The 24606-nt window shown below is 41.7% G+C and overlaps 2 protein-coding genes across 2 annotated transcripts in view, besides 2 other annotated features; one reads left to right on the forward strand and one right to left on the reverse strand.

The window, feature by feature from the left end:
- Positions 922 to 12007, reverse strand: ERG28 (ergosterol biosynthesis 28 homolog). The gene is made up of 5 exons (NM_007176.4): positions 11906 to 12007; positions 8501 to 8664; positions 6017 to 6107; positions 2902 to 3020; positions 922 to 2765 (listed from the first exon to the last, which is right to left on the reverse strand). The coding sequence occupies exons 2-5, from the start codon at positions 8631 to 8633 to the stop codon at positions 2686 to 2688; spliced, it is 423 nt and encodes a 140-aa protein (NP_009107.1). The 5' UTR covers positions 8634 to 8664; positions 11906 to 12007; the 3' UTR covers positions 922 to 2685.
- Positions 12069 to 12118: a silencer, noted in NCBI's record as "silent region_5950". NCBI's record gives its function as "represses an Ori minimal core promoter by ATAC-STARR-seq in GM12878 lymphoblastoid cells {active_cell/tissue: GM12878}" and the evidence as "EXISTENCE:reporter gene assay evidence [ECO:0000049][PMID:35858748]".
- Positions 12229 to 12448: an enhancer, noted in NCBI's record as "active region_8761". NCBI's record gives its function as "activates an Ori minimal core promoter by ATAC-STARR-seq in GM12878 lymphoblastoid cells {active_cell/tissue: GM12878}" and the evidence as "EXISTENCE:reporter gene assay evidence [ECO:0000049][PMID:35858748]".
- TTLL5 (tubulin tyrosine ligase like 5) overlaps positions 12377 to 24606 on the forward strand; it is a 293834-nt gene continuing 281604 nt past the window's right edge. Inside the window, exons 1-3 of the mRNA NM_015072.5 lie at positions 12377 to 12518; positions 14186 to 14354; positions 20547 to 20653. Coding sequence (NP_055887.3) covers positions 14281 to 14354; positions 20547 to 20653 — 181 coding nt within the window. The 5' untranslated portion in view covers positions 12377 to 12518; positions 14186 to 14280. The remainder of the gene's footprint in view (positions 12519 to 14185; positions 14355 to 20546; positions 20654 to 24606) is intronic.

Below are 24606 nucleotides of genomic sequence, written 5' to 3' on the forward strand. Positions count from 1 at the left end.
AATCTAATATCCATAGTGTCTGCTAAATACTCTAACTGTACATCTCTTTAGATCCTTTGGGTCCCTGCCTTTACTAATCTGGAATCACTTTTTTTTTTTTTTTTTTTTTTGAGATGGTGTCTTTTTCTGTCGCCAGGCTGGAGTGCAATGGCGCAATCTCGGCTCACTGCAACCTCCGCCTTCCTGGTTCAAGCAATTCTCCTGTCTCAGCCTCCCAAGTAGCTGGGACTACAGGCACACGCCACCATGCCCAGCTAATTTTTGTACTTTTAGTAGAGACGGGGTTTCACCATGTTGGCCAGGATGGTCTCGATCTTTTGACCTCATGATCTGCCCGTGTCAGCCTCCCAAAAGTGCTGGGATTACAGGCGTGAGCCACCACACCCGGCCAGGGCATCACATTTTCATGACACATGCTCAGAGGACCTAAATCATCCAATGTTTTCATTCACTCCTTTCATAAGGTCTTCATGTGGATCTGTGTTCAAACATTAACTGTCATCACTGCTTTTTTACTGCCTCCTAACAATATAGCTGACAAGTAAAGAAAAGATAGTTCTTACCATTGAGATATTTTTCTAGATACAGTGTTCTGGGCATATGAGGCCTGGAATTTCTGCAACCAACTTTGGTACCATAAAAGAAGTCAGCCTGAGGATGCCAGCACACATAGGTAGTGCTGAAAGAATCGTAAAGAAATGGAGCTGGAGTCTTGATCAAACCCTTCCTGAAGCTAATCTTGTAATTTTTCAGTTATATGAGCCAGCTATCTTTATTGTTTAAGCTAGTTTAAGGTAGGTTTTGTCCTTTCACCTAAAGAGACTTAACTGATAAGAGAATTCCCAATGTATTTAAGTGTAAACATCAAGCTTCTTATCACACCCTTATAAGCCCCTTGCCTCCTTTTCTGACCTTTTCTTTCACTTCCTAACTCTTCACCATGCTGTGATTACATAGTTCTTATTCCTTGAATAAGACTATTCTACCTTCCAGTTGCTGCTCCCTCCTTTCTAACGGCCTGCTCCATATCTTAAGACATTTAACTCCTGGGCATTCAAGTCTCAGCTCAAATCCCACCTCTTAGCCTGGACAACATAGTAAGACCCCATCTCTTCCCACCCCCAAAAATGTTAGCTGGATGTGGTGGTACACACTTGTAGTCCCAGCTACTTGGGAAGCTGATGCAGGAGGATCACTTGAGCCCAGGAAGTTGAGGCTGCAGTGAGGTGTGATTGTGCCACTGCACTCCAGCCTGGGTGACAGAGTGAAACCCTGTCTCTAAAAAACAAAAAAATCCCATCTCCTCAGGGAGGACTTTCTGATGATCTAATTTAAGTTACGTTCCCCACTGCCCACCCCACATTCCTTCTTGACCAAAATACCTTGTGTTTGTTAGAGTTCTTATCCCTATTTGAAGTTCTTTATTTTTGTGTTGGCTTGTTGATTCTGTTACCTTGACTATAATATAAGGCCCACAGGGCAGGGGCATTGCCTGTGTCGTTCATTTCTCTTTCCCAAGTGTCCGGCATGGAGAAGTACTCAACAAATATTTGCTGAAATAGCAATGGCCTTTTGGATACACACACTGTGTATGAGGGTCCAGCTGGGGGAGGCCCTCTGGGTAGGGTTTAAGAGCAACTGTCCATTCCAGTGCATTCTCCTCGGGGTTTAGTTGTCTTCTTCCCATGTCATGCAGTTGTTTCATCTATGCTGCCTAGTTCTATTTTTTTGTCTCTGCTCTCTCAAGAATCTGTTTCTTCTTTAGGAGGAAATAAGAAAGGGCACTTAGTGTTTAGTTGTGAACGCAGACTCTTGAAGGTGAGAAAAAAGAAGATTTGACTTCAAGAATACAAGAGGAATGAGCAAATGACAGTAAGGAGCCGGAGGCAGCCAGGCTGACCTGTGTCATGAGCTGTCCTACTCACTATGGTGTATTCAATCAGGCATAAAGCTGTGATTCTCCTAGGGCTCAGAGGAGGCAGCCATGCTCTTGTCTTAGCAGAGGTCAAAGTACAAGAACTGATCAGAGCAGAGGGTTTTTCTATTTATTACAAAAGTTGTTACACAAATACAGCTGACCAGAAGGTCTAAAAACAGCCCAGACTCTTCCAACCCTCATGCATCTGTAGATAGAAGGAGAGCTGTGGTCTTGCTCACACACAGGGGAGCCCTTCTTAGAAGAACTGCCTGTCCCTTGGAAGGTTCAGAGTCTTGGGTCCAGCAGCAGAGAGGAGCCCAACCTGCGTGGACAACCCCTTGAGGCAGCCCTTGGTCACAGCTGCTCTGGGTGGGCAGCAGGTTTAAGTTTCATAGTTCACATGTTCCCACCACACAAGTCAAATCAAGGCATGAAAATAAAAGGGAAAAAGGGGAAGGCTGGAAAAGGGAGCCTGGAAGAGGTTGCAGGTAGGGGAAGGAGACACAGTGGGCTTCCGAGAAGCTGGCAATTTCTTGACTTGGATGGAGTTACGTAGTATTCACTTTAAAATTATTCTTTAAATTGTACGTACATGTTATATACTTTTCAGTATGCATATCTTTAAATTTTAAAAATTAAAAAAAGAGGCTAAAAGTGAATAAAAGGGCAGATGATGGAATAGAAAAGAAATTAAAGAGGAGAGACGACGAAGGAAGAAGATGGCCAAGGTGGAAAACGAGAAAGTCCTGGAGGTGATAATGCTGGCCTCAGTTTCTCTTCTTCTGTCTGGATACTGGTTCTACTTCTAGATACCGGAGCCCGACCAGCATACCCAGGATGGAGAAACCTTAAATACAGAGGAAAGACTAGTGACTAACATACATACGGTACCTTTCTTCTCTCTCTCTCCTGTGTCCACCCTCTGTACTAGCTCTAGAGCTGGCACAGCTCCTGTAGGAGGTCTAGGGTGGTTGGATGCTTACTTGCCACCATCAGGGGTGCCAGGACGCCAATCGTGGGAGCTGCAGTTCCATAGACAAACAACTCAGAGAGGAAATGCCCCAGGGCAAGGAGGAAGGTCCAGAGTGTGATGTGATAGAGCCTATAAGGAAGCAGACAGAAATGGGAACCAAAGTTACTGTTTGTTCAGAACAGAGGAAAAGTATCAGACTTCATACAGACAAATAAGAACCCAGGATGTCATTAAGACTTAAAAGAAAGGACACTTGTTCCTGAGGAAGAGCTGGTTATTTGATCACAACGATATTCTCATCTAGGGCAAAACTGAAGGTTTCAACTGCTAAACTGAGAGGAGAATGGTTCAGGCATCCAGAATGAACGTCCAGGTCTCAGCAAAGTGGTGAACTCAGCTATAGCAAAGCAGAGCCTGAATGATGACAATCGCAGGCAGTGTAGACAACTTTGGATCCAGCACGCTTACATATTCTATTTATCCAAATTGGTTGACTCTGCAGTCTAATCCCACCTGGCAGGCATCTGGCCATGCACTTGTCGGTGTTTATAAGATGGATGCCACAGAACGAACGGCCTCATGGGGAGTAAGGAGCAAGGACACCTCTGGGGCTTTTAGATGCTCTTGCAATATACGTTGGTTACTTTGTGCCTTAGCCTAGAAAAGTAGTCACATTGAGGACATGGTGACAACCTCATGGGAAAAGAACTTATCTTTCAGCTTTGACTATAAGGTAGAGAAGAGACAGGCTACTAGGTGACTGACCACTTTGTTTGCTGATATCTTTTTAGTATAAAATTTTTTAAAATTATGAAATACTTCAAACATACAAAAAAATTACTGAACACTATAATGAACACCAATGCAACCAACACCCAGCTCCCTCAGATCTTAACATCTTGACATTTTGTTTCAGACTCTTCTAATAAAAACTTACAGAGAAGAGTTAAATCATCCTGTGTATACTTATCCTGCTCTAAGTCTGTTCTCCCTCATCCCCACAAGTAACTGGTATCTTACATTTGATTTGTATCTCTCCTGTGCATATTTTTACACCTTTTTTTTTTTTTTTTTTTTTTTTGAGACAGACTCTTGCTCTGTCTCTCAGGCTGGAGTGCAGTGGCACAATCTTGGCTCACTGCAACCTCCGCCTCTTGGGTCAAGTGATTCTCCTGCCTCAGCCTCCTGGAGTAGCTGGGACTACAGGTGCACACCACCACGCCCAGCTAATTTTTGTATTTTTAGTAGAGATGGGGTTTCGCCATGTTGGCCAAGCTGGTCTCAAACTCCTGATCTCAAGTGATCTGCCCACCTTGGCCTCCCAAAGTGCTGGGATTACAGGCAGAAGCCACCCGCGCCTGGCCCATTGTGGAAACAATATGTATGTGTGTTGACTTTCAGTCTCTAGTTAGGGAGGGAATAGGATCAGAATGCACATCAGAAGTGCATCGATCAAAGTCCTAGGCTAGAAAGGTCTAGAAACAGGAGTCAGCGTTTGCAGCTGTCCTGTGTGGGGAGAGGTGAAAGTAAATGGTAACTGAGGTAAAGATAAGTCTGGGTCAGGCCGGGCACAGTGGCTGAAGCCTGTAATCCCAGCACCTTGGAGGCCAAGGTGGGTGGATCACGAGGTCAGGAGTTCGAGACCAGCCTGGCCAACATGGTGAGAACCTGTCTCTACTAAAAATACAAAAATTAGAGGGGCATGGTGGTGCGCGCCTGTAATCCCAGCTACTGGGGAGGCTGAGGCAGGAGAATGGCTTAAACCCAGGAGGCGGAGGTGGAGGTTGCAGGGAGCTGAGATTGTGCCACTGTACTCCAGCTTGGGTGACAGAGCAAGACTGTCTCAGAAAAAAAAAAAAAAAGAGATAAGTCTGGGTTGTCTTCGCTCACTTCAAAAGCACAACAATCAAAAGATATATCCCTCATACTCATCAGCAATTCTTCATTGTGGTACAGGTCTTTAAAATGATTGTTCAATCCTCCCTTCCTCTTAGTCACCCTGAGAGGTAGAACAGATATCTATTCTCATTTTATGGATGAAGAGGCCAAGGTGCAAGGAAGGTGAATAATGGACTTGCTACTGCAAAGCTAGTTACCAACAGAACTGGGCCCAGAACTAAACACACTGCTTCCAAAAGTATGTGTCATTCTAGGACAAGTAAACTGCAGGTTCAAGTTTGAAAAAAAATTAAAAAAAAAAATAAGGTTGAAGAGATCAAACGGCTAATAGCCCTGCTTCAAATCTCACTTGAGTCAGTCTTTCTTTAAACTAACTGTATCTCTAATATTTAGATGTGCAAAATCAGGAATGAAAATCATGACCTCCAGGGCTGCTAAGAAAAGACTTAATCAAGATCACGTAGATAAAAGCTCAGCATAATAAGAGGGGCTCAATAAATATTATCGCCTCCTGTTTTCCCCAGATGCCAAGAGCCTGGATAAGACAGAAAAACATTTTAATGTGAAGTTGGCATTCAGATAGCCTCCCTCGGTGACCTGAACAAACTGTTTCCACCTAGAGTGTGATGATGACTCCCGCTGGGAAGAAAGCTCGAGCCCCCTCTAGTGGCCAGCACTGGTTATGGCTTCTGATTGCCTGCAATTGTTCCACCCTGGTCTGTTTGAGTACCCAAGACAGGTAGATTCAGGAGCCCTAGCTTCTCTTTCACCCTCACCTGCTGATGCTGCATACACATACAACAGTTTACTTGTGGGTTCCTCTTTTTTCATGGATTGTGATTTCTGTTCATTCCTGCTTCTTAAGGAGGAATGTGAGAAAGGTATGTGTGGGTGGCTACTCTAAAAAGAGCATACCACTCTACTTCTTTAGTAGAAGAAGGGCTGATTCTTTCATAAAGAAGTGGAGGGGCATGATGCAGGCCACTGGATAATGGCCTGCCAGTTTGCTATGTCAGTTCCAAAGAATTTTCAGACTTTAATGAAGACCTGTTAGGTCTACTATGTTTTCTAGGCTTGGAGGGAATGTAACCTGTGAGTTTTTTATTATTCACATTCTAAGCTAATGCATTAAAATGATTAACAGTTCCCATTACTCAAGGTAACAGGTATGCCTCGCATCTGATTTCCAACAAAAGGATGCTAAAGCTCTTCCTTCCCTTACATACGTCTTGTTGTGAATGTCAATGGCACAGAGGCAGCGAATCACTGATGAGAGCAGCGTCCAGATCCCAAAGGTCCGAGCTTGGAGGCCATTCACTGTGTAGCAGAAAAAAGCAAGAGTGTTCAGAAGGGGAGACTTGAGGTTCCTTCCAAACTCCTCCTATTTCACTGGTGGTTCATGGGAGATAGGGAGCTGGACCTGACCTCTCTGTGGCTGGGCAGGATGGAGGTCCTAGTGGCAACATGGGAACTAGAAGGAATAGAAGGAATTCCAGAATGAGAACTTCTCAGATTCTCTTCAAATGTCTACAGTTGGAAGGGAAGTTCCAAGAGTGGAAACCCACAAAGAGCCCAGTTAGGCAAATAACTCCTAGATATAGTAATTTACCCCTTTTGTCCTGGAAGCCTAGAGGGTCTGGATCAGGACAGGTTTTGGGGAACGTTGTAGAGACTGATCTGGAAATGCAAGATGCCCAGGAGGCCAGCAGACTTTCAAGGCTGATCCAGGAGAGAACTCAGAGATACTGGGGACCAATTTAGATGCCCATATATGGTCTTTAAGATATGTGAGTGCCTGGGTCTCTTCCTGCATCCAGATCTATGCTGTTGGATGAACCAATACCAGGTTGGTTTCCTGTGTGCATGGCAGTGGGACAAAGCACTGTTTCTTTGGTGTTTGCTGGGGGCATCCTGCTGTTGGTAGCTTTGTTCTGACATTGCTGTATTAAATATCTTGTCCTGAAAGTATAGGTCATATTCCACCATAACAGTGGTTCTTGACTTTGGGCATTTATTACAATCAACTGAGGTAGTTTTATAAAATTACAAGGCCTGGGTACCAGACCAACTATATCGTATTCTCTGGAGGAGGGCCCCAGGCATAAGTATTTTCTAGAAACTCCCTGTTTGGGTAATTTAAATGCAAAACCATTGAGCTAAGGCATCCAGTGGCTCGGGGATGCCAAAACAGTGAAAGCAAAGATACTTCCTTTGCTGGTCTACTACCTGCTGAGTAAGATAAATTTTAAGGGACAAAATTGACAACTGAAAAGTCTACTAATGTTTACTTGGGCTTTAAGGATTTTTCCAGCCTTTGGAAAATCAGACAGCTCTCCCAAATTCACAATACTGAAGACCATTAGATGGTAGTGAGAAAAAATTCCATATGCCAACCAAATATCTAGCATTAGCCCTGGATAGCTATATTCTTTATAAACCAATTTGATAATGAGAAGACTAAGGACGTTTCTCTAGTTAAGAGTACTCAACCAGCCCTAACCAGATTAGGTATGAGGTGAAATTCTGTGGGACACTTTAGAGCACTGCTACTTTCAGAAGAGTACCATGAAGGCCCCTAGATCACAAGGGAGATGGCAGCCTCAGCTTCCGTGCTGGCTGAACACACACACACACACACACACACACACACACACACACACACACATAAAGTTCTGCTCAGCTATATGCCTTTAAGTCACATGACCTCTGGACCTCTTTGCCTCAACTTTAAACTCAAAGGGCTAGACCAGATGACCTCTAAAAATGTGTGAATCTATATAGGGTTCCATGACCACCTGAGGGCAGCATTTGAAGGTGAAAAGATGGAATTATTCTGCTCACTTTCCCAGGTTCTTTACTCTTATTATATTTGAGCTTTCTTAAAATGAGCCTTAGCCTACTTAATTTCATTTTATACTCAGACACTGCAGAAAAACGAGCTAGGTCAGAGCCTGAATCTGGGTTAGCTATAAATGTGACACAGAATTGTCATCTGCTGTGAAACAGTGCTGCAGCTTAAACTACCCCACACATCAGCGTGATGAAGTGGAAGCTGAAATGGACACTCTCAGTAGAGAGGCTCAGGAAGCCAGGAAAGGCTGCCATGGGCCTTCTTAAGTTTCATTTTGGGAGACCAACTTGAAGGGATTTTAAATACCTTCTCAGGGACTATGTCACGGAAGACCTTGAATTAATAACTCTCCATCTGTAACATGGAATATGAGTCATGTAAGCCCCAGAATCATGTAAACCTGATTCTGAAGAGGGCTTTGAGATATATGTAAAGCTTCTTTATGGCTTTCTTGTCAGGCATCACAGAGTCACCAAGTAAGTCTATTTCCTCACTTGCCCTTATAATGCTTTTTTTTTTTTTTTTTTAAATACATGAATTGCCCAGGGCAGTGTAAAATCAATGAAAAGTATTCAGAGAAGCTTGGGGGAAAAAGGGTCAAGTGCTCACCACAAAGTCTATTACTCCAGTAGCTGCCAAAGGCTAGCTAAGGCAGCATCAGAATCATCTGGGAAGTGTTTTAGCAACTGGATTCCTGAGCTCCACCCAGGTTCAATAAATAGGTTTGGTGAGGGAAATGGGTACCTGTGTTTGTTGACGTTTCCTAGGTTACTCTGATGTACAGCCTGGTTTGGGAACCACAGCATAGGGCCAGTCCTATAAGTCCTATAAAGGATGCAGAAATTCTTTGATTTCTTACCAAGGTTTGGCTTGCCAGTGTAGAGCTTTTCATAGAGAAAAGTGTGGTCTCGGAAGCTCTGCAGCGTGTTCCCCATGGCTATGATGGACACCATAACCAGCCAACTTCTTAACACATTCAGGAAACGGCTCATGACTCCCCTCAAACGTGGGAGGGCTTTTTGCCTTGGAAACAAAGGCAGAGGACATGAGACAATGAGGGCCAGTCTATGTTAACCATAAGCAGGAAGGGAGGAAGAATGAAGCAGGCCAAAAAAAGAAATTCAGTCACACTAATAGTGGTGAATGAACAGTATACTTTGCAATAAGTGGCACAGTACTTATCCTTGTCTAAGCAATTTCTCCAAAATATTACCCTAAATCAGAACTCCTTTTTCTGGGTTGGAATCAGTCCTCTATCTTTACTTCTATACCTTCATGTTTTCATGCCATTCCTTCGTAATGCAAATAGCTCAAAGGCGATTATAACTATACTCACAGACACCTGCCTGGCTATTGATGACGGATTCTTCCAAGTGTATGGAACTTTATAAATTTGAGTAGGACTTATGGTGTGAGGTCACTATTTACATCCCTAGGTTTTCTGGACTCTGGTTCTCAGGTATACCATGCTCCATAAACTAGAAGAACAATCTAAAAGTTAAAAATAAACTGCTGTGTGTCAACTCCAAATAAAATCCTAAGCCCATCACGGACTGAACAGAGCCCCTCTTGGCCTAGGGGACCCCAGAAAAATCCTAAAACTGAGCTCCTGGCCATGACAAGATGGGAGGTCTGACATGCCCTGTTATATTCGTTGTGTTTTCAGGTTTAGAGACAGCAACTTACCAGCATTAAAGTTAAAATAGAGATCATAAGAATGACACAACAGATTCTTTGTGCAATAAGATACCAAATTATAAACAAGACCTAAGGCCATGCCAGGCAAGGGTTAAGTTACACACTCCTACATTTAAAGAATAAAAGTTATATTCTGCCACAAGGTTTTTTTTTTCTCCAGCAGCTAGATGAACACTGGCCTTGAGATAAGCAATATTAAAACAATTGCAGCTCATCCAGCTCACAGAGGCTGACTACCTGACCCCTGTTCCACCAGTTGTAACTACAGCTTTGATTGGACAAGAGACTGATTTCAGTAATTTTCTCCAGATAAGACCACCAACCGTGGACTGCTCCTGGCCAGTTTAGCAGGATCACACACTTGAGTGTCTTGGTGTCCTGAAAAGACTTTTTGACGTATAGAGCCTAGGTGTGATAGACTTAAATGTTAGGTCTCCACTCCAAAGTGAACAGGGTTCATATGTGGTTACATATGTTTGTTCAATATGCATGTGTCAGGACAACCTTCAGGAATATTCACAGCTCCTCCTGTAACCTGTCGAATGTGTATGTTTAGCAAACCTGTTCAGCATGAAGCTCTACCCCAAACCCTTCTCCTTCAAAGTAACTGTCTCTGGTCTTGGTGGGAGGCACTCTTCCCTGTTGGGTGGCTGTAACCCTTTGCAAGAGATAAAGCCTCTTTTCCTTTTTTCCAAATTTATAAATTGTGTGTGTTTAAGTTAACGTGTGAGTTTAGGACTAGTAAGAAAATTATATAGCGAAGGAAACAGCAATCTTGGTGTTGGGTTGCAAGAAAATAATAGGTTTCAGTCATTGAGCACTTACACCGTGAACTGTGCCAAGCACCTAACATATATTACCATTTAATCTTTACAATGAGGTAAGCAGGCACTATTAATATTTCCATCTTACAGATGAGGGTTGGAACAGAGAGGTTAAACAAGTTTCTTAAGGTCACACAGCAAAGTTGGCAGAGCTGAGATAAGAATCATGGTCTGCTGGACTGCTGCAGTGCTACCTCATTGTTTGAGACTATTTTAATGAAGTTCCCATTTTTTGAGAAAGAAAAGCATACCATATCCACTTTTGTCTTCAAGTTGTATGGAAAATACAATTAGATTACATACTTTTTGTTTTTTAATTTATTATTTATTTATTTATTTTTTTGAGACAGGGTCTTGCTCTGTCACACAGGCTGGAATGCAGTGGCATAGTCATGGCTCATTGCAGCCTTGAAATCAAAGGCTTAAGTGATCCTCCTACCTCAACCTCTCCACTTGGGCTCAACTGATCCACTCACCTTGGCCTCGCCTCCCAAATGCTGGGATTACAGGTGTGAGCTACAGCACCCAGCCTTTTTTTTTTTTTTTTTAAGGCTTAGTTCAACTCTTGTTGAGTAGTAATTTCAGTTAGTCTGATTTAAATAAAACCAAAATAGATAAATAATCTAATAATGGAATGACTTTTTCCCATCCTCATTATTATTTTCTTGGTCCACGGTTTATCTGTTGTCAGGTTAACCTCTTGGGCCTGAAGTGGTAATAAACTAACAGGCTTTCTTTGTCACTTTGGCAATACAAGTTTCGGTATTGTTCTCTGCTACCCAGTGGGACAGATATTAAAGTCAGCAATGGCCCAAGACAGTGTGAAACACCGCCGCCCCCCCCCGCCAACTCCCCGCCCCAAACAAGCAATAAAGAGATCTAGAGAAGGAAGGGTGAATTGATGAGCCCTTCAGGGAGAGCTGGATCACAAAGGTGGTCTCTGTCGAAGATCAGAGAGACTGAGGGTCTACTGGACATCACAGGCCATTATCATTTGGGCCAAGATCCACCCATCCTCTTTATTTTCTCACTCTCTCTCAAGAGGAGACTCCTCCGGGGTTTAGAAAAGCTGCATGGATGCACCTCTCCACTTTTCTGCACAAGTATGCCTTCCATTTCACAGAAGTGTTATCTGTTAGAAATCCCAACAGATAGCTGATGAGGACAGAGCCTGAGCACTTCTGAATTGCTCTGCCAATTTCTCAACCTAATTTCCCTAAAGCTTAAGGGCCTCTTAGAGTGTATACAACATCTATTTCCAAATTTTGTCCTGGCCCTGGCCCAGCCCAGCCAAGCCCAGCCCAGCATAGGTGTGCTGTTAAAACTTAATCAGGAGAAAGGGATTCTTATCCTGGCCCTACCACTTAGTAGCTGTGTGACCCTGGGTAAGTCATTTACACTTTTCAGTCTCGGTTTCCTCATCTGCAAAATGGAGATAGAAATATCAACCCGAAGGGCTATTGTAAGAATTATATGACAAAAAGTGAAGGCTCTTTGTACAGTGCTAGGCTCATAGTGGCTGCTCATTCGCTCATCCATTCCTTCGTTCCTTGAATTCACCAAGCCTTCTCCATCTTCCTAGCTCCCCCTTGTCATCGCCTCTCGAAACCTTTTCCCCCCAAAAGGTTGCCTTCCAGTTATCTTCCTTCCATCCCACCTCCATTTTTCCAGACTCTCCGGATCCTCTCAATCAGAAGCAACACAGACACCTACATCCCTCTTCTCCCCCATATTCTCCTTACCTGGCGACCGGGCCCCCAGCACAGCAGTGGCAGCAGCAGCCGCTGCCGCAAACAAGCTCCCCCAGGACAGCTCCAGCCCGGAGTCCACCTGAGCCATTTGTCCCCGCCCCCTCCCTCAGCCCTGCTCCAGGATTGGGCCGTTTCCGTCAGTACTCTCTCTGATTGGCTGTCCCGGTTTCGCCCGAGCAGGAGATGGGGAGTGAACCCCTTTACTGCCAATCAGCGGTTGCCGCTGCCTAAGCCTCTCCCCAGGTACGCCGCTCACGCCGTAAGCCCTCCTGTTGGACCTAGCGGAACTCCGGGTTTGGAGTCAACCTCTTAGGGGCGGAGAAAAAAACAGCGGAAAAAAAAAAAAAAAAGAAGACTCCCTTCAGCTGAGGGCAGGGCTCTGCGCCCGCGCTGCGCGGCGGTGACGACATTCGCCCGCGTCCGCAGCTGAGCGTTATGAGCGCCTGCGCAGTGGCTCCGAGCGGGCGGTTGCTTGTTGGTTGTTGTAGTAACCGGGGAAGCAGCCGTCGGCGGCTGCCCTGAGCCTTCCTGGGGAAGGAGGAGGGAGGTAGGCGCAGAGCGCGGTCCACGCCTGCTCGCCCCGAACCATGGGAAGATGAGACAGGTAAACGCCTGCGCCCGCGCGCTTCCCTACCCTAGGGAGGAGCATTCCCGGGTCCGGGCTGGCGCCTGCAGCAGGACTTCCCGCTCAGAGCCCGGGAGTAGCTGTTGGCTTCCGGGCGCGCCGCGTTGAATCGCGGCTGCGGGGTCGTCCCGTCCTTCCCGGGGGGAGCATCTGCGGACCTACGTGGGATTGGGGTGAGCTGGGGGTGGGGCTGAGAAGCAGATTCCTTTCGGGAGAGGAGTCTCCTTAGGTGAGTATCTCTACTCTTCTTCCGATAGACCTGTTTCTCCCCGCTCTGCAGGCAGCCTAGGAGAGGTTGGCATCCCTTCCCGTTTGGAGGTTTTGTTTGTTTAAACTTAAAGGGCTTCCCAGCATTTTGGGAAAGATCAAGAAATCCCGTTGAGAATCCCCTGAAGAAAGCCATTGAAGTTGTTAGACATTGCCTATTGCGCCGAAGATCTTTGATCATTATCGGGGTCTGTTTTTTTTTTGTCTTATTTACAGTCTCATCGTATTTATGAATGCATGGAAAAGTTAAGAAGGATTGACAGCAAGTAATTATCGCTGAGTAATTTGGGATTATGGTCATTTAAACATGTTTCTTTTATTTGTAGTTCCTATTTCTTCTTCTGACACACACAACGAACATGTACTTTTTTACTTTAGAAAAAATATTTTAAGTTAGAAATGCAGTGTTGGAAATTTCCTAATTTCATCGTCTATTTGAGAGTCGTACCAAACTTTGTGATTTTTAGGAAGAATAATTTTTAAGAGTGGAAGGGCATTCCTCCCCTCCCCCACCTATTTATATGGACCTTTGATTCAAGAGAATATATTCATCTTTCGGTTCATTGTTGAATTTATTTTACTGGAAACATGATGGCATCTTGTCAGCGTGCTTGTCATAGAGTCTAAATAAATGTTGGCAGGGGTTTTTTGTTGTTTTTTTTTTTTTGAGACGGAGTTCACTCTTGTTGCCCAGGCTGGAGTGCAATGGCGCGATCTTGGCTCACCGCAACCTCCGCCTCCCGGGTTCAAGCGATTCTCCTCCCTCAGCCTCCCGAGTAGCTGGGATTACAGGCATGAGCCAGCACACCCGGCTAATTTTTTGTATTTTTTTTTTTTTTTTTTAGTAAAGACGGGGTTTCTCCATGTTAGTCAGGCTGGTCTCGAACTCCCGACCTCAGGTGATCCGCCCGCCTTGGCCTCCCAAAGTACTGGGATTACAGGCGTGAGCCACCCTGCCCGGCCTGCAAGGGTCTTAAACCTTGAGTTTTTATTTATTTATTTTTAACCCAGGCCAGGTTTGTCTAGCAAGGAATATATGTTTTAGGGAATCAGTCACCTGCCTCAAACTGAGTGAAAGTGAGGAGTCTATCCTTTTGGTGCATATTCGATTTAGTAAATAATGAGAAACTCAAACTTAGTAACAGCTCTTCAAATATATAGAGCACAGACTGTATGTTTGAAAAAAATCTTGATTTTTGTGGCATATTGAGGCACATATTGAGGCACATTCCATATGTTATGGAAAGTAAACTTCTAGAGGTTGAGCACTGTTTAGGAATATAGTCATTTTCATTACTTAGATTATCAGCAATAACCAATAAATAGACAACTGCATTGTGTTTCAGGTCAATTGATCCAATCAAGTTGATTTCTTGCAGGAATCTGTGCCATCCAAATTGCTTGATCCAGTGAATCTGCTAGGAAAGGTCTCTGAGGCCCCCGTCTGCTGACTGCATGACAAACCCTAAAGGAAATGCCAATCGTGATGGCCCGGGACCTGGAGGAAACAGCATCATCCTCAGAGGATGAGGAGGTCATAAGTCAAGAGTAAGTAATAGCAAGCCTGCTTTCAACCTGTGCTTTGTACTCTTTCACTTATATACTCTTATATACTGTTTTACTATATACTCTTCTCTTTTACTTATGTACTCTTTTATCTAGTGTCATTCCTTGGGGATTATCTAACTCTGGTTTTAGCTTCTATCCATAATGTCATTTAAGGTCTTGTTACTCAGTCCCTATCAGCTATGAGAAATGAGATAAGGCTCTCTTTCTGGGCCCATAAGTGAACATCAGCTCTAGATGTTGTAAAATGCAAGTAGTAGCTCTTGGTGAACTCTTGCTCAGAACTCCCAACAGAAGATTTTGAAATGTTTAAGTATTGAAGAAAAGCATGTCCAAACTCTACAACATTAGTTACGTTTGCTAATTTTCTCAAAAGCCTTTACAATGATAAAATGGTGGTAATATAGAGAGGTCAGGTAACTTACCATAGTAACTCTGAGGCAGGATATTAGAGTTCTATAGCCTGTGTTGTGTCCATTGACCCACACTGCTTTCCTGAGTTCTTTTAGTTAAGAGTCCAATTTCATGATTACTGGATCATCACAATAAGAATGAATAATAGCTAGGTGTGTTGGCTTATGCCTGTAATCCCAGCACTTTGGGTAGCCGAGGTGAGCGGATCACCTGAGGTCAGGAGTTCAAGACCAGCCTGGCCAACATGGTGAAACCCCATCTCTACTAAAAAAACAGAAATTAGCTGGGCGTGATGGTGGGTATCTGTAATCTCAGCTACTCGGGAGGCTGAGACAGGAGAATGGCTTGAACCTGGGAGGTGGAGGTTGCAGTGAGCTGAGATCTCACCATTGCACTCCAGCCCGGGCAACAAGAGCAAACCTCCATCTCAAAAAAAAAAAAAAGAATGATAATGATAAATATAGCTACTACAGATGACGATAAAGGCTTTATCTCATCTATATCTTATATCTTTTTAAATCTGAAGGTGTTATTATTTTCACTTTTTTAAACTCAGTCTTATCAGGAAATTTCCTCAGTGACCCATAGAGAGTAAGTGATGCATTGAGATTTGGACTTAGCTTTTCTGGATTTTGATCACTTTGCTCTTTTGCCTCCTTTAATTATTGCTTGACACAGAGTAAAGAGAGAATCTGGTTTAAAGGTAAAATTCATTTTTAAGATTCTCCCTGAGTCCTTTTGGATATGTGTGTGCTATGTAACCTGAAAAATAGAGATAATATCTCCCAGGCTATTTTGTAGGGGTCTGGTTAGACTCAAATAGCATAATGTATGTGAAATTACTTTGTAAGTGCTATACAAATGTAAGGCATTATTTTTACTGGTTTTAATATTGAATTTATGGTGGGCTTCTTGTAAGATACAAGATTACTTGTAATTTGAAAAAAATTGTTGAAGCATTAAGAAAGCTTTGAGGAAACGTTTCTTATCACTGTTAGGTCATAGAAACTAATAGAGATTTGAAAGTATATTTGGGTCATTCTTGTTCAGGATAATTAAATGGATAATTCCCTCTGGTTACTTTCCCTTCTTCTGACTTTTTGCTTTCGGTGTGCTGCCTCTTACCCATTTCATAAAACTTTTAACTTCTGCTGCAAGTATCAGTCTTTCCCTTTTTAAAGGTTGTTCTTTTACTCCATTACTGTCTCTCTTATTAGTGGGTTTACAGATTGGGCCTGACAAATGTTAGATTGAACTATATGAAACTGCCATTTTGGTAGGTCAGAAACAGTCAAATACTGACGATTGCAGATAGTTTGACCTAATATTATAGTAGGTACTTAGTAAATTCTTGCTGACTGAATAACGAAATGAAGGAATAAATGAAGGCTTTATACTTTACATTACCTTAGATCAGAGTTGTTAACTTTTTTATGCCATGGATTCCTTACCAGAATAATGTTTTTAAGGCTTAAAATAAAATACATATTATTACAAAGAGTACTAATTACATTCAAATGCAGTTATTAAAACACATTTGTAACATAGTAATATGTGCTGTTTTACTAATACATTAAATAATAAGATCATTTCAAATCTGGGAAAGTTAAATTTTGTTTTCTAAAGACAACAACATGAAGACTGTTTTTGTTTAGTTTGTGTAAGATCAGTACACTGGGAGGGTGGCCTTTGATTAACAATCATAGGTCGGGGGTACTGGGAAGCAGCATAGATGTCTGGGTCACCAGTGTGAGGTGTCATCATTTAGTGACTGAATGATTATTAGGAGGAGAGTTGCCCAATTGTTGTCCAACCTCATCACACTAGCATTTAGATAGAAAGACCATGATCACATGTGATCTAGGGGTGAGTCTTAAACTACTATAACTTAGAAGTAGTGACAAATGTAATACCTGTAATTGGCCAGGTGCAGTGGCTCACGCCTGTAATCCCAGCACTTTGGGAGGCCGAGGTGGGCAGATCACTTGCAGTCAGGAGTTTGAGACCAGCCTGGCCAATATGGTGAAACCCTGTCTCTACTAAAATACAAAAATTAGCCGGGTGTGGTTGTGGGTAATCCCAGCTACTCGGGAGGCTGAGGCAGGTGAATCGCTTGAACCTGGAAGGCAGAGGTTGCAGTGAGCCGAGATTGTGCCACTGTGCTCCAGCCTGGGAGACAGAGTGAGACTCCGTCTCAAACAAAACAAAACAAAAAAACTGCTGTAATTTTAGATAACGTCAAAGGCACAGATAATGCTAATATTACTATGGTTCGTTGCCTATATTCATAATTAAGAAATACTGAATTTCTAGTAAAAGTTAGTGAAAATAAAGGTGTAATTTTCCCTCTGCTCCCATCCAAATTTATGGACCACTTCCTCCTTTTAGACTCCTACTGTTGATTTTTAACTGTTAATCTTGTTTCATCAGCTTATGTCTTGTCTATCAGACACTTATTTTTTACATTAGGAAGCTTAAATCAATCTTGTTCACACCTGAAGCAGCAGGCTTACATTTTAAAAGTTGATTTAGAAGTTTGAAGGCCATAAATCATCGGAAGATGTTGACTTGATCCAAAGATGTATATCCATGGACATCTGTTAGATCTGCTCAGATCCCTAGGCTGTGTTAAAGTATTAATTCCTTGCAATCGTGGACTTCAGGAATAGAAACTATCCAGGCAGTCTTGTTTTGCATGGTATTATTTCAAATAGAAAATGTAAAGAGGCTGTTTTTCTATATTTTGCTTGGGGATCCCAAATACAACTCTGTATGTAGATATAGAAGCTTTCGTAGAAGAACGTGATGTAAGATTTCTTTGGTCACTGAAAAAATGTCAACTTTAATTGCTATTGTAAAAGGCTGGCTTTATATCAGTTAAAAAGATTATTAACAATCAATTATAAAGTGGGTGCTATAGGAGTTCAGAGAAGGAAGTATCGTAATGGGCTGAAGGAGCTGGGGAAGGCTGCCTGAAGGTGGTGAGACTTTAGGTAGGCCTTGGAGAGTGGGCTTAGATAAACAGAAGTGGGGAAGGCATTTCTAATAGGGGTAGTGGTATGAAGACAGCCTAGAAGCAAGAATGCAAAAGCTGCTTACAGCTCCATCTTTGAGTTATGTAGGCTGGGTCCCAGGAGTGAATGATGTCTATTTCTCATGAAATTATTCCCGGAAAACCAAAATGTTTTTAGGCTTTCAATAAAGTGAATCATAAAACTGATCTGCTTCGGTAATTATTCAAATCCTTTGTTTTTCATGCCTATAAAAGTGGATTTTAATATGTACCAGTTTCTGATGTGAATGAGAATATAAAGTCCCAATTTTCAGTTTCCTAATCATTCTGAATTTTTTCCTTTTAGCATCACTTGGTGGGAATATGTTTTTCATGACAACTTCGCATATTCCTTAAGTGCTTTTTTTTTTTAGCTGACCTTACTGTTTACTCTCTCTTTTATCTTTCCATGGGTTGGAAATGAAAAGATTTCTCTGTTAGAGACTTGGCTTTCTACAGATAGTACAGTTAGGGCCTGGGCTCTTCTCAGCTGTGTATCTGTTGATTGTGCTCCCCTTGTCAGGCATTTTAAAATTGGAGCAGCAATCCATTGTTTATAAATGCTAAGGCATAGTGGTGCCAGCTGGTAGCTAGTGCTAGATTGACAGAGAACTTTGGATAGTTTCCAGAGTTCCTGTCTGAGACTTTGTAGTTTAGGCTGCCTGTTTTTTTCTGTACTTGCTGATTTAGAAATATAGTGGAAAAATTAAGGTTGGAAGAGATCATAGGAATCACCTGGCTTCATGCCCACATTTTACAGGTGTTAAAGATGAAGAAGCAAGCAAGCCACAAAAAAATCCTTCCTGCTAAAAAAGGTACCCTATCAGCACCGTTTCTCACAAGTGGGTACTGTCACCAAGTCAAAGAACAAGAACAATAAGCATCCACATGCCATTTCTAGAAAACGGGGAATAAACTAGGTATGCTGTTCTTTGCTTTCTTCACTAGAAAGCAGTTGGCAGCTTGTCCCAAGTCTAAAGACTGCCTCACTCCTAAGATTGGGAGCCTTACAGACTGTGCATTCAGAGTGTGGATCTTTTTATGTTTTTTTTTTTTTTTTTTTTTTTTTATTGAGACGGAGTCTTGCTCTGTTGCCAGGCTGGAGTGTAGTGGCACGATCTTGGTTCACTGCAACCTCCGCCTCCCAGGTTCAACTGATTCTTCTGCCTCAGCCTCCCGAGTAGCTGGGACTACAGGTGCGGGCCACCACACCCAGCTAATTTTTGTATTTTTAGTAGAGACGGGGTTTCACCATGTTGGCCAGGATGGTCTCGATCTCTTGACCTCGTGATCTGTCTGCCTCGGCCTCCCAAAGTGCTGGGATTACAGGCGTGAGCCACCGTGTCCGGCCCGAGTGTGGATCTTTTTAAAGTTGGATTGGGAGGGGCTGACTTGGCCCTGAGATTTGTGGTATGACCTTTGTTAAGGGATGTGGTTATGTGAGTTTTTAAGAGTCGAGTGAATCTTGGCCAAGTGGATTGTATTGCATTTAAGGAATTATCAGTTTAAGTTCCCAAATAATTGAATTCAAGGTATCCAATATATACAACTTTGCTGAAATGCGATTAGGGAGGCAAACAGTAGAAAGAATACAGATGTTAGGTTCAAATACCTCATCCCTTACTTAACCAGCTATATGACCTTAGGCAGGTTACTTAACCTTTCTGAGACAGTTTTCCTGCAGTTCATAGTATGGGCAGGGGGATTAAGTGAGATATGAGAGCTCTTAGTTTAAATCCTGGCACATAGTAGGGACTCAGTTCATTTAATTTTATTTCTCTTCCTACCTCCCTGCCCTAATGAGGGTGAAGGTTTTTCTGATCTGTGAGTAAATATTCATCAGCCTAAAATTAAGCTGAGATTTCCTGAGGATAGGGAAAGAGAATAAAGTCAGAGGTCTTTTTCTCCCCTGTGGTTTTATACTGGAGGAAAATATATATTGTTCCATTTAGCATGGGCTTCCTTTAAAATATGTGATTTTAATTGGGATACTTGTATTAATTTAGAGTTCCTAGTTCAGAGTCTTAGGATGCATCATCAAATTGGCTTGAAAATGGACTATAGCGTGTAAAAGGAGTATGTAAATTATTGTGAACTCATCAGTTAGGATTCTTTATGTGTGCAAAGGATTACAACATAATCCAAATGGTCCTAAGTAATAAAGAGAATACTTTCACTCATATTCAGGCATATCTTGATTCTGAAAATCCCACTTTATCTCTTCAGTCAACCTCCTGCTGACTTTCTCCTTCACCAACAGCTACAGGCTCTTCTTTCAAGGTCACAAAATGGTTGTTGCCCTTCCAGACTTCTCATTCTCATCCTATACCATCAAGAGGAAGACAGGCTATCATCTGTAGCCATTATAGAAGAGAAAGAAACCATTGCTTTCTCACAGAGTCCAGAACATGTCTCCTTAAACTTATGGGCTCCAATTGGTTTATGTGCCTATCTCTGAACCACTAATTATACTGGATGATGAAGTATCTTGATTGGCTGAAACCAATCAAGGCCCATCCCTGAACCAGGGATAGAGTTAATTTTAAACACACAGCTAAGAATGGGAGATGTGATTTCCCACAGGATATTTGGGATTTGTATTCCAGAAGGAAGGGGAAACTTGCTAAGCAACAAACCATAGTAATCTGCATCAGCAGTTAGTTCAGGTTTTGAGCTGTAAATTAATGAAGGCTTTTTTGTCGTTATAGGGATCATCCATGCATCATGTGGACTGGAGGCTGCAGGAGAATTCCAGTTTTGGTATTCCATGCCGACGCTATTCTTACAAAGGACAACAATATTAGAGTAATTGGAGGTGCGTATAACCTCTCCCACAGAGGACGGAGCTGGGCATGGCCCAGACGTCCTTGTCTTAAAGAAGTTGATATGACATATATATAGGGAAAGGGCCTTGGCCATGAGAAAAATCAATTGAGTTGTTATACTTCAAACATTATAATTTCTTAAATTGTTTTCTGCTTATGTTTTTCCTCTGATTTTTTTTCAAGAATATTGTGTACATGTGTTTTTTTTTTAATTGTGGTAAAATACACCTAACAAAATTTACCATTTTAACCATTTTAGAGTGTACAAGTCGTTGTTGTTTAGTACATTCACAATGTTGTGCAGCCGTCACCACTGTTTAGTTCCAGAACATTTTCATCATCTCCAAAGTACAGCCAATACCCATTAAGCAGATATCCCCAGCCCCCATACCACCAGTCCCTGGCAACCACTCATCTATTTTCTGTTTTTATAGATTCCCATATTCTGGATGTTTTATATAAATGGAGTCATGTGATATGTGACCTTTTTTGGCAGGCTTCTTTTCACTTAGCATAATGTTTTTGAGGTTCATCCATGTTGGAGTATATATCAGTCCTTTATTCCTTTTTATAGCTGAATAACATTCCATTGTATATGCTAATGAATGCATTCCAATGATACACCACATTTTGTTTATCCAGTCATCAGTTGATGTACATTTTTTTTGTTTCCACCTTTTTTTTTAATTTTGTTTTTAAAATTTATTTATTTTTTAGATACAGGATCTCACTGTGTTGCCTATGTTGGTCTCAAACTCCTGGCCTTAAGCAATCCTGCCTTGGTTACATGCATAATCCACTGTGTCTGGCCTTTTTCCACCTTTTGTCTGTTGTGAATTGTGCTGCTATGAATGTTCACGGAAAAGTCGTTTGGACACTTAATCTTCAGTTCTTTGGGGTATACCTAGGAATGGAATTGCTAGGCCATATGGTAATTCTGTGTTTAACTTATTCCGTGTCAAACTGTTTTCCATAGCAGCTGTACCGTTTTACATTCCCGTCAACAACGTATAGGGGTTCCAGTTTCTCCACATCCTCACTAACATTTGATATTTTCTGTTTCTTAGATCATAGCCATACCAGTGAATGTGATGTGGTATCTGGCTGTGGTTTTGATTTGCATTTCCCTAATGAGTAATTTGAATATCTTTTTATGTACTTTTTGGCCATTTGTGTATTTTCTTTGGAGAAAGGCCTATTCAAGTCCTTTGTACATTTTAAAAATTGGGTTTTCTTTATTGTTGTTGAATTATAAGAGTTTTATATGTTATGGATATTAGACAAGATATATGATTTACAAATATTCTTACTCTGTGAATTGTCTTTCATTTTCTTGTTAGTGTTCTTTCATGAGCAAAAGTTTTTTGTTTTGATGACATCCAGTTTATCTAATTTTTCTTTTGTTGCTTATATTCTTTGTGTCATATCTAAGAAACCATTGCCTAACCCAAGGTCATGATCCCTGTGCTTTTTTCTAAGAGTTTTATGGTTTAAGCTCTTATATTTAGGGCTCAATAGTCTTTGATCCATTTTGAGTTAAATTTTTCATGTAGGGTTATGTAAGGGTTCACCTTCATTCTTTTGCATTTGGATATCCAGTTGTCTCAGCAAAATTAGTTGAAGAGACTATTCTTTTCCCCACTGGATGGTCTTGGCACTATTGTTGAAAATCAGTAGACCATAGGTGTATGGGTTTACTTATGGACTTTTAATATTTCATTGAACTATACATTTATCCTTATGGTAGTAACATACTCTTGATTACCGTACCTTTGTATTAAGTTTTGAAATTGCGGATTGTAAGTCCTCTAATATAGTTCTTTTTCAAGATCTCTGGCCATTCAGGGTCCCTTGCAATTCCATATGAATGTTAGGATCAGCTTTTCCCCTTTCTTCAAAAATGGCTGTTGGGATGTTGATAGGGAGTGCATTGAATCTATAAATCACTTCTTAGAGTGTTGCCATCTTAATGATGTTTTCTATGAACATGGAATGTCTTTCCAATTTTTTGGGCTTCTTTAATTTCTTTCATCATGGTTTTATAGTTTTCTGTGTACAAGTCTTGTACCCCCTTGGTTAAATTTATTCCTAAATATTTTATTCTTTTTGATGTTATTGTAAATAGAATTGTTTTCTCAATTTCATTTTTGGGTTATTCACTGCTAGTGTATAGAAATACACCTGAGTTCTGTATATTGATCTTGTATCCTGAAACCTTGCTGCACTCATTTATTAGCTCTAATAGTTTTTGTGTTTAGGTTTGTCTGCATGTAATATGTTATCTGCAAATAGAGAGAATTTTAGTTCTTTCTCTCCAACGTGGATGCCTTTTATTTCTTTTTCTTCCCTAATTGTTCTGGCTAGAATTTCTAGTACAATGCTGAATAGAAAGAGGGTGTCTTTGTCTTGTTTTTGATCATAGGAAGAAAGCTTTCTGTTTTCTGTCATTGCGTATGATACTAGCTGTGGGTTTTCATAAATGTCCTTTGTCATGTTGAGAAAGTTTGCTTCTATTCCTAGTTTGTTGTGTGTTTTTATCATGAAAAGGTGTTAGTCAAATGCTTTTTCCACATCAACTGAAATGATATTTCCCCCTTCAGCCTGTTAACGTGGTACATTACATTGACTGACTTTTTGTGTCTTGAACCTCCCTTATATTCCTGAGATAAATCCCACTTTGTCAGAGTGTAATTGCTAGTATTTTATTTTATTTTGTTTTATTTTATTTTTTTGCGACGGAGTCTCGCTCTGTCACCCAGGCTGGAGTGCAGTGGCACAATCTCAGCTCACTGCAACCTCCTCCTCCTGAGTTCAAGCAATTCTCTGCCTCAGCCTCCCGAGTAGCTGGGATTATAGGCGTCCACCACCATGCCCGGCTAATTTTTGTATTTTTAGTAAAGATGGGGTTTCACCATGTTGGCAGGCTGGTTTTGAACTCCTGACCTCATGATCCACCCGCCTCGGCCTCCCAAAGTGCTGGGATTATAGGCATGAGCCACCACGCCCGGCCTAATTGCTAGTATTTTGTTGAACATTTTTTGTCTGTATTTATAAGGGATATTGATTTATAGTTTTCTTCTGATGCCTTTGTCTGGCTTTGGTATCAGGGTAATGCTGGCCTCATAGAATGGGTTCCCTTCAACCTCTGCTTGCTGTAGGTCTATTCATATTTTCTATTTCTTCTTGAGTCAGTTTTGGTAGTTTATGTGTTTCTAGGTATTTGTCCATTTTATTTAGCTTATCTAACTTGTTTGCATACAACTGTTCATAGTATTCTTTTACAATCCTTTTCATTTCTGTAAGGTCTGTAATAATGTCCCCACTTTCACTTCTGATTTTAGTTATTTCAGTCTTTTCTCTTTTTTCCTTAGTTTAGCTAGAGGTTTGTCAATTTCGTTGATCATTTTTATTTTATTCTTTTTGAGTGACAAAGTCTCACTCTGTCACCCATGCTGGAGTGCAGTGGTGTAATCCTAGCTCACTGCAGCCTCAGACTTCTGGGCTCAAGTGATCCTCCTGCCCCAGCCTCCTGAGTAGCTTGGTCTGTGGGTGTACACCACCATGGCTAGCTAATTAAAAAAAAAAAAGCTTTTTGTAGAGATGGGGGGGTCTCACTATGTTTCCCAGGCTGGTCTTGAACTCCTGGCCTCAAGCAGTCCTCCCAGCTCAGTCTCCTAAAGTGTTGGGATTATAGGAATGAGAATTTGCACCTGGCTTTGTTGATAATTTTAAAGACCCAATTTTAAAATTCCAACTTTTGCTTTCTCTTGTTTTCTGCATTGTTTGTATTTTATCAATTTCACTTATCTCTGCTCCTCTTGGATTTTAAGCAGTGCTCTGAGCCCTGGTGTTAGTCTGTAGCCATCTTCAAAGGTTATAACACTGTGGATCAGGACTGTCTTGTGGTATGGTGGAAAGAGTGTACACTTGGGTTCTCAGCCAT

This window comes from Homo sapiens, chromosome 14 (genome assembly GCF_000001405.40).
Source record: "Homo sapiens chromosome 14, GRCh38.p14 Primary Assembly".
Lineage (NCBI taxonomy): Eukaryota > Metazoa > Chordata > Mammalia > Primates > Hominidae > Homo > Homo sapiens.

What these genes read in the sequence shown, in the direction of transcription:
- ERG28 (NM_007176.4), bottom strand. Translation starts at nt 8,633, where the DNA reads ATGAGCCGTTTCCTGAATGTGTTAAGAAGTTGGCTGGTTATGGTGTCC. An exon ending in CACTGGCAAGCCAAACCTTG is followed by an intron (nt 6,108 to 8,500) that starts GTAAGAAATCAA and finishes TCTGCTACACAG; the next exon opens with TGAATGGCCTCCAAGCTCGG. An exon ending in GGCACCCCTGATGGTGGCAA is followed by an intron (nt 2,766 to 2,901) that starts GTAAGCATCCAA and finishes TCTGTATTTAAG; the next exon opens with GTTTCTCCATCCTGGGTATG.